The 7218-nt window shown below is 43.1% G+C and overlaps 1 protein-coding gene and 1 non-coding gene across 5 annotated transcripts in view, besides 5 other annotated features; both read right to left on the bottom strand.

The window, feature by feature from the left end:
* C3orf52 (chromosome 3 open reading frame 52) overlaps nucleotides 1-7218 on the bottom strand; it is a 49993-nt gene that overhangs the window by 16435 nt on the left and 26340 nt on the right. The window contains exons 5-7 of one of the 4 annotated variants that reach the window (XR_924171.4): nucleotides 6802-6983; nucleotides 3041-3305; nucleotides 385-478 (exon numbers count right to left, since the gene is read on the bottom strand). Coding sequence is in view for 2 of the 4 variants with exons in the window: in NM_001171747.2 (NP_001165218.1) it covers nucleotides 2949-3305 (357 nt within the window). In the remaining 2 variants the exon portion in view is untranslated. Of the gene's footprint in view, nucleotides 1-384; nucleotides 479-1736; nucleotides 3306-6801; nucleotides 6984-7218 lie in introns of those variants that run through there. The other 3 variants (XR_007095726.1, NM_024616.3, NM_001171747.2) reach the window with 3 other exon arrangements.
* Nucleotides 3756-3815: an enhancer, noted in NCBI's record as "active region_20234". NCBI's record gives its function as "activates an Ori minimal core promoter by ATAC-STARR-seq in GM12878 lymphoblastoid cells {active_cell/tissue: GM12878}" and the evidence as "EXISTENCE:reporter gene assay evidence [ECO:0000049][PMID:35858748]".
* Nucleotides 4372-4461: an enhancer, noted in NCBI's record as "active region_20233". NCBI's record gives its function as "activates an Ori minimal core promoter by ATAC-STARR-seq in GM12878 lymphoblastoid cells {active_cell/tissue: GM12878}" and the evidence as "EXISTENCE:reporter gene assay evidence [ECO:0000049][PMID:35858748]".
* Nucleotides 4692-4741: an enhancer, noted in NCBI's record as "active region_20232". NCBI's record gives its function as "activates an Ori minimal core promoter by ATAC-STARR-seq in GM12878 lymphoblastoid cells {active_cell/tissue: GM12878}" and the evidence as "EXISTENCE:reporter gene assay evidence [ECO:0000049][PMID:35858748]".
* Nucleotides 4752-4831: an enhancer, noted in NCBI's record as "active region_20231". NCBI's record gives its function as "activates an Ori minimal core promoter by ATAC-STARR-seq in GM12878 lymphoblastoid cells {active_cell/tissue: GM12878}" and the evidence as "EXISTENCE:reporter gene assay evidence [ECO:0000049][PMID:35858748]".
* Nucleotides 4852-5111: an enhancer, noted in NCBI's record as "active region_20230". NCBI's record gives its function as "activates an Ori minimal core promoter by ATAC-STARR-seq in GM12878 lymphoblastoid cells {active_cell/tissue: GM12878}" and the evidence as "EXISTENCE:reporter gene assay evidence [ECO:0000049][PMID:35858748]".
* MIR567 (microRNA 567) lies at nucleotides 7049-7146 on the bottom strand. Its single transcript, NR_030292.1, has one exon. It is a non-coding gene; the product is annotated as a microRNA 567 (primary transcript).

Below are 7218 nucleotides of genomic sequence, written 5' to 3'. Positions count from 1 at the left end.
GCCATTCATAGTATGTGGTTGCCCTGTGGGCTAGGCTTTGCCCTCAACAAGCTGTGGAACTCTGGGCTGGTCCTCCCAGCTCTCCAGAATTTGATTTCCCAACTGTGAGATGAGGGAGGTGCCTTTTGAAGCTGAGTCTGTAATCTCTAGTCACAAAGGAAAGATTCAAGGATGTCTGTGGATAAAGCTGCCAACAATGCAGCAATTGTTAATTCACAATGCAGTGTAAATTAACTTATTTTAAAGCAATGAAAGAGTGATGGGAGAGGAGAAGGAGGACATTGAGAGATTTCTCCCATTTTTTCTTAGCATTGATCAGACTCTGAATAGGACAGGATTCATGTCCAGAATTCACATGTAAAAGACAAAAGAGAGAATATGTACCTCATCCTAAGAAGACACGAACATGTGTAAAGGAAGGCAAATCTTCTTATTCAAATCCCACCAGTGCTTCAGGATTCGGCTTCAGTCCTACTTCCTACAAAAAAACGTCCTCTGATTATACTGACCACTCTTTTCTCTGACCACCCGCAACCCTACTGTTTCTGTTTGTTTGTTTGTTTGTTTGTTTGTTATGGAGTTTCACTCTTGTCACCCAGGCTGGAGTGCAATGGCGTGATCTCAGCTCACTGCAACCTCTGCCTCCTAGGTTCAAGCGATTCTCTTGCCTCAGCCTCCTGAGTAGCTGGGATTACAGGCGCCTGCCACCACGCCTGGCTAATTTTTAGTAGAGATGGGGTTTCACCATGTTTGTCAGGCTGGTCTCGAGCTCCTAACCTCAGGTGATCTGCCTGCCTCGGCCTCCCAAAGTGCTGGGATTACAGGCTTGAGCCACCGCGCCCAGACTGCCTTTGTTTTTGACCCCTGGGTATTTTTTTCTGCTGTTTCCTGTTTCATCTGTACTGATCCTGACTCCTTAATAAGACTAACAGCTTCTTTTCTTATTGTTGTCTTCTCCACTAGTATCCCCATAGCCTTCCATAAAACACATCATTTTTTCAAATCTGTAGAACTAAATTAAATTGAAAGGCAAAAAAGAATCAGACACATGGCTGGAATTTTTGTTGGCAGAGGAACAGGAGCAGGTTCTGCTGATATGGCTGTTGCCATTCTATCCATATCTAAGTGACATCCAGAGAAGAGCAGTTTTCTTCTCAAATCCTTCAATTATTAAAACCTCACTATGTACCAGGCATTATGCTCATCATGATGTTGTGTGATGACCAGTAGATTTATCTCCTATAGCAGAACAGTGCATTTGTAAGGGCCGTTTTTTTTCAAACACCACCAAATATGTTAGTCACAAAGGTTAGTTTTTTCCCATACCATTTGGGCAGAAAAGTCAAATCTATGGAAAGTCCTCTCTATGACTTGCAAATGGTCAAAACCCAAGACAAGGTACTTGCATCTTGGTGCTTTCTGAACAAGAAGGGAAGAACAAAACCAAATCCTGCCTCCAGACATGAACAGGCTGTTCCTTCAAGTCCAAGCCCTTTCAGATACCAAGTCCTGCCAGAGAGGGCCTCAGAGAAAGAGGAGGGGATGGCCTCTGCCTGCTCTTGCTGGAACAGAGGGGAGAACCCAGGCCGCCCCAGCCAAACTTGGCTTGATCTTATTCACCCAGAAGAGGAAGCTGCCCTAAGGGAAATGAAAAAAATTATGCTCAACACCATTTACTGCAAAAAACAAACAAACAAAAACCCAGCCCAAAGCTCAGCCAATGGGAATGCAACAACACAGATGCAAAAATAATGTATTGTAAATGTTTTTAAATCATTCTCCATTAAAATTTTTCATTATTTTCTACAAAATACAAATACACTAAGGTTCACATTTAACATGCAGAAAATAAAGAGGAAGAAGAGAAATCCACTAGTTTCACTAGTTTAAGGAACAATCACTAAAATGAGACAATGATCTATAGTACATGTATCTTCTAGTTAAATAGGAAAGCAAATTCACATTATCCAGAGTCCTGGGTCATAAAGAACTCAAGTCAAATCTAGTCTGAGGCAGACACTCTGGCTCGTGCCCGCACACAGCTGCCCTTCACACTGACTTTAACCCAGGGCTCATTTAACTGAGAGGCGAGATCTCTCACAATACAGCACAAAACTCTTTCTCCTGGTAAATTTCTTTTCCCAACAAAACAATCAGTTCCCTCACAACAGGCAATTCTGTATCTGTAGACAACCAATACAGTTGCTAATATTCCTCCTACCCCCCAAATAGCTGGCAAAAGCTTCCAAGAGTTTATTTTCAAAGAAGAGTGGTTCTTCTTGTATCACAACCATCTGTAACAGGATACACAATCATTGCCTGAAGACACTGAGTCCCACAGGAAGGTTTGTAGCACTAGGCAACAAAAAGCCAATGCGTAATATCCAGAGCAGATATTAAACAGCCTTAATGATTCTCTAATGGAAGTTTATAAAAATATAAATGGAGTGACTATCCAAAGTGATAGTAGTGTGCTCAAAACTCACAGAGACCCATATTTCCAAAAAGGTGTTCAGGAATCACAGGAACAACGAGGAGCTGCAAAATAATGAAGAAACACATAGCTCCCGTCTGTAACTAGCTATATACATAGATTTCAAAGTAACCTTGGTGGTGTTCCTAAGGCTGGCTGGCTAAGATACTCAGGTACAGGTCATGGAAGTAGACACAGAACCACACTGCTGAGGTCTTCTAAAGTGCCTTCCTTTTCTTCACAGCCTGGCTTAGAGGTAGATCAAATCGAATGGTGGGGGGGAGGAGGATGACTTCAGTGAATAATTGGCTTAGTCTTCGTAACCTGGCTGCCTGCCTCTCCGTGCTCTACCAGCTCATGCTTACGCGATCCCACCTAAAAGAAGACAGTGCACCTCTGCACTAAAGAAAAAGTAGCCCAGGTGGGTGGAGTGCTTCAAGAATAGCAGTGCCATGATCACGCCACCGCACTCCAGCTAAGCGACAGAACGAGACCCTGTCTCAAAAAACAAAACGAAACAAAACAAAAACAAACAGAATACCAGTGACCTCCAACAGTGGGACATACCCGCTGACCCTATCGCCCCCACCCTAGCTGGCTTCCTGCCTTTGTCAAGACTGGACCCAGCTGAAGCAGTGCTCGGGAGCTGTTTTACTGGGCTTAGAGCCAGACTGTAGAATCGGGAGAGAAAGGAGTCTCCACCCCTCTGGTGTTGCTGGTGCTTCTGTATTAATCCACAGAATCTTTTCTGCAAAACAGAGTGAATTCCCTTCATCTCCAGGACTTGGTAGAGCACTGCTTTCAGACAGAGACCAGCCTCCATCACTTCATTCTAAAAAGAAAACACAGATGAACAAAAGTTACTGATTTTTAAAACCACTATTAAATGCTTACGTTTTCATTTCATTTCATTGAATTTTAGTGTAAAATCTTAGATAAAATTGCAAGGTTTATACATTCCTAACAGAGGAAATTTAGTCTTCAGTCCAACACACACACACCGCTCTGAATACATTTCAAAAGGCAAATGACATTTATTGTTTCTTGCTTATTTGTTTGGGTAGGATGCATGAGAAATAATTTTGATGATGTGGTTTTTGGGTGCTAAGGACATTTTAACATCCAGTCCCTTTTCATAATCTAACCATAAACTCTAAAATTTCCGTTTTTAAAACGTGTAAAATATACTGTGAGAAATTCTGATGAGAGAAATGGTGTGAACCCTAGGGCACAGCAGGTGCAGATGCAAAGCCCCAAGCAGACACAACACAGGGGGAGCCCGCCGGGGTCTACAGACCAGGAGTCCAGCCTCGCCACCACTGACAGGACTGACAAGATTCACTATTCTCCCTACCTGGGGCTTTTTCCTCTTCTCTCTCACAAAAATCCTGGTTTTGCCCTTTTTCCCTACTCAGTCTACTAGCTGACTCCTTCCCATGTGAGAACAGTACCAAGTACCTCCTCTGTGTCCAAAATAACTCATGATGCTGACCTATTCTTCGACCTTTGTAAAACAGACTTCCCCCTCCTAGCCCAGGGCCCCACTCATCTAGGAGGTGAAGAAGACCAAAGATAGGGAAGGGTGAGGGATGATGGACTTAAAAAATTCCTTTATCATTATATTTTAAGTTTTTATTTTTATAAGGCATCCAAATATGCATGCAGTCAGGTCAAAATAATCGCCGTATTTCCAAATTAGAGAATGAGAAGCAAACACACACAAAACCCCTCAGGAATCTAAATTACAATCTAATTTTGGATTCTGCTTCTAAAGCGCACATATACAAACCCCAAATGGACCATAGGCTGGCCTCAGGGAAATACTCGGAATCCCTGAAATTGTCTGTACAATTTTGTGTTGTGGGGAGAAGTAGGTACATTTTTTTTTCCTGGGGAGAAGGTACACAGCTGTCTTCAAATTCTCTAAGGAGCACACAAACCAAACAATTTTAAGAATCTTTGCTCTTTGAAGACTAAGAACATTACCATTGTGGGAAACTAGTTGCCTGGGTAATCACAGGGCGGGGATGGTAATCCCCCAAGCCCACAGCTCATGAGCACGTAGAAACTGGCGTAAGAACTCATTCCATCCCTCTTGGTCCCTCCCAGGGCCCTGGGCCTCTCCCTGACACATTTTCCCTTTCTCTAGAGTTTGCCTCTGAGCTCATCCCCCATCTGCCTGCATGCCTGCGATGAGTCCCTCTTCTTCTTTCCTCACTTCCCAACTGCTTCTCTGTGCACCCTTCCCTTTGAGAGGGCAGTGACACTCACATTCTGAAAACATAAAATGGCTCAAATATTGCACATTCATGCTCTGGAAAGTGGGACATGGGGTCACAGAAAACCCCACATTTTCTCAGCATGTCCCGTCAGAAGAAATGTCTGAGAGAAAGAATGCAATTTCCAGAAGAGCAGAGACTTTGTTCCACTCACAGCTGCCTTCCCAGCACCTGCTGGAGCACCAAGCCCTGGGGAAACAGCTGAGTCTCTTTGGCCAAGCTCAGGGTCTTCTGGGAGCCCTCCTCAGGTCTCACAAGCAGCCTGCCCTTTATCCTGTACTATTTGAACCTCTCAGCCTTGGAAGCCTCTTAAACCTTTCCTCAGACCTCTGCCCATCTCCCTGGCCTCCATTTGGAAAGAGCCAGTAACAATTTTTGCAAGGGGCCTAAGAAAATCAAGACCAACCACACCACAGCAGCAGCCCCCACAGGCATCGCAGGCCTCTTCACATGGGAGGAGGCTGAAGGTTTCTGGGTTTTTTTTTCTTTTGAAATGGAGTTTCACTCTTGTCACCCAGGCTGGAGTGCAATGATGCGATCTCGGCTCACCGCAACCTCTGCCTCCCAGGTTCAAGTGATTCTCCTGCCTCAGTCTCCCGAGTAGCTGGGATTATAAGCACCTGCCACCATGCCCGGCTAATTTTTGTATTTTTAGTAGAGATGGGGTTTCACCATGTTGGCCAGGCTTGTCTCGAACTCCTGACCTCAGGTGATCCAACTGCCTCGGCCTCCCAAAGTGCTGGGATTACAAGCGTGAGCCACCGCGCCTGGCTTTTTTTTTTTTTTTTTTAATTCCTGTAACTGGGGCACAATCTCTTCACTCCACACACATATAGTGTCTGCCTGACCCACAGACACACTTTATTCAGGATGCTCTGTGAGGAAGATCTCCATTTATGAGACTTCCAGTGAGCTAAAATTTGGCCTTCTGAATGGCATTCTTAAGAACTGTTTTACATAACGTTCTGCCTTCTTAGGCCAACATTACTCTTGCCTCTCATCCTCAAGAAACAGTGTCATCATCATAATAAACACCTTGTCTTGTACTATGCACTAACACTTGTGCTTTTAACCCCCTGTTCCATGCTTCTGATTCTAGACCGTTAATGCACCTGCTGCCAACCACAACTACTTCTAATTTGCCTTTCATTCATTCAACTAGTATTTACTGAGAACCTACTCATGTGGAGAAAGTGATTCTGATGGACTGTGGATGAGAACATAAAATATTCAAGATTGTTGGCATTAGGGGCTAAATAAGAGCAAACAAGCCTCCGAGCGAGGTATCAGAAAGTGAGATCAGCAGCAAAGGCCAGAGCTTCACTACAAAGCAATGGAAGGATATTTTGAGGGCTTGAAGCCATTTGGCCTTCTGACCTTCCTTTCTGTCAGGTTTTGTTCTGAGTGTCAAAAGTTCTCAGATTCTGATAAATGGGGTGTTTGTTACATTTATTAAAGAACATATCTATTTCCTTGTTCTGTTCTTAATTTTAAAAGTTGACAAGTAAATTTGTCATAATTTTCTAAGGAAAGGAATAAACTTGTCTTTGTATACCCCTCTATTAATTTCTTAATGGTCTCAGTGGCCTTCAACAGAAAAAGAAATAGGTTCCCCATATTGAGATACTCTTTCAGCAATTTAGCTGTATCATTTATTTCCAATTCTTCAATTCTTACTTCTCTTGTGAAACCACAGTATCTCCATAAAGGTTGCTAATCATGTTGTAAAGTAGGATACAGGGCTTAGAATGTGGGTGAACTGCATGAGGAAACATGTAGCAATGTTCATCTTTATAGTTGAATTATCTTTTCCATAATTGCTCCCCAACTACACTGTCTAATTATGGAGGGCACGGACTGTGTAGCCTCCACAGAGAGGGGAACATCACCTCACAGCAACACCATCTGCTGAGGGGATGAGTGAATAAATGAATAGTCTGACACAGTACCAAGTCACCACAGTTGCCAAATCGAACCAAGCCAATTTGACCCCAATCTGGTTCACCTGTTTATTGTCACAACTCTGACTTCTTTACTTGCTCTACTTACCATAGAGCAAGAGGGATGTTGGATCAAGCCCCAGACTCTCACAACCAGGTATATTCTGATCACGGAAATCCTGTAGCAAAATGCCCAGCACCAACTCCTCACTCATCATATACTTCATAAAATTTTCATCATCTGATGGAACCCCAAATTGCAGGTCATACGTTACTGTGGCATTTTCACCACTGAAAGGCAATGGAAGACATTAAAACATAAACAGCATCATACTGCAACTCAAGAAATGAATTTAAGCAATAACTTTTTTTTTTTTTAGTTTTGCATGTTCTTCCAGTACAAAATAGCAAAGAATGTTCTGTCCTGGAAGAACATACTGTCCTATAAGAATCCTCTTCCATAGATTCATCACAAAAAGTTGAGGTGATCCTAACCTCCTCCTTCCACCTAGTACCTATCCTCTAG

The sequence above is a fragment of the Homo sapiens genome, chromosome 3, assembly GCF_000001405.40.
Source record: "Homo sapiens chromosome 3, GRCh38.p14 Primary Assembly".
NCBI classification, from domain to species: domain Eukaryota; kingdom Metazoa; phylum Chordata; class Mammalia; order Primates; family Hominidae; genus Homo; species Homo sapiens.
This window is presented reverse-complemented; position numbering and strand designations above follow the sequence as displayed.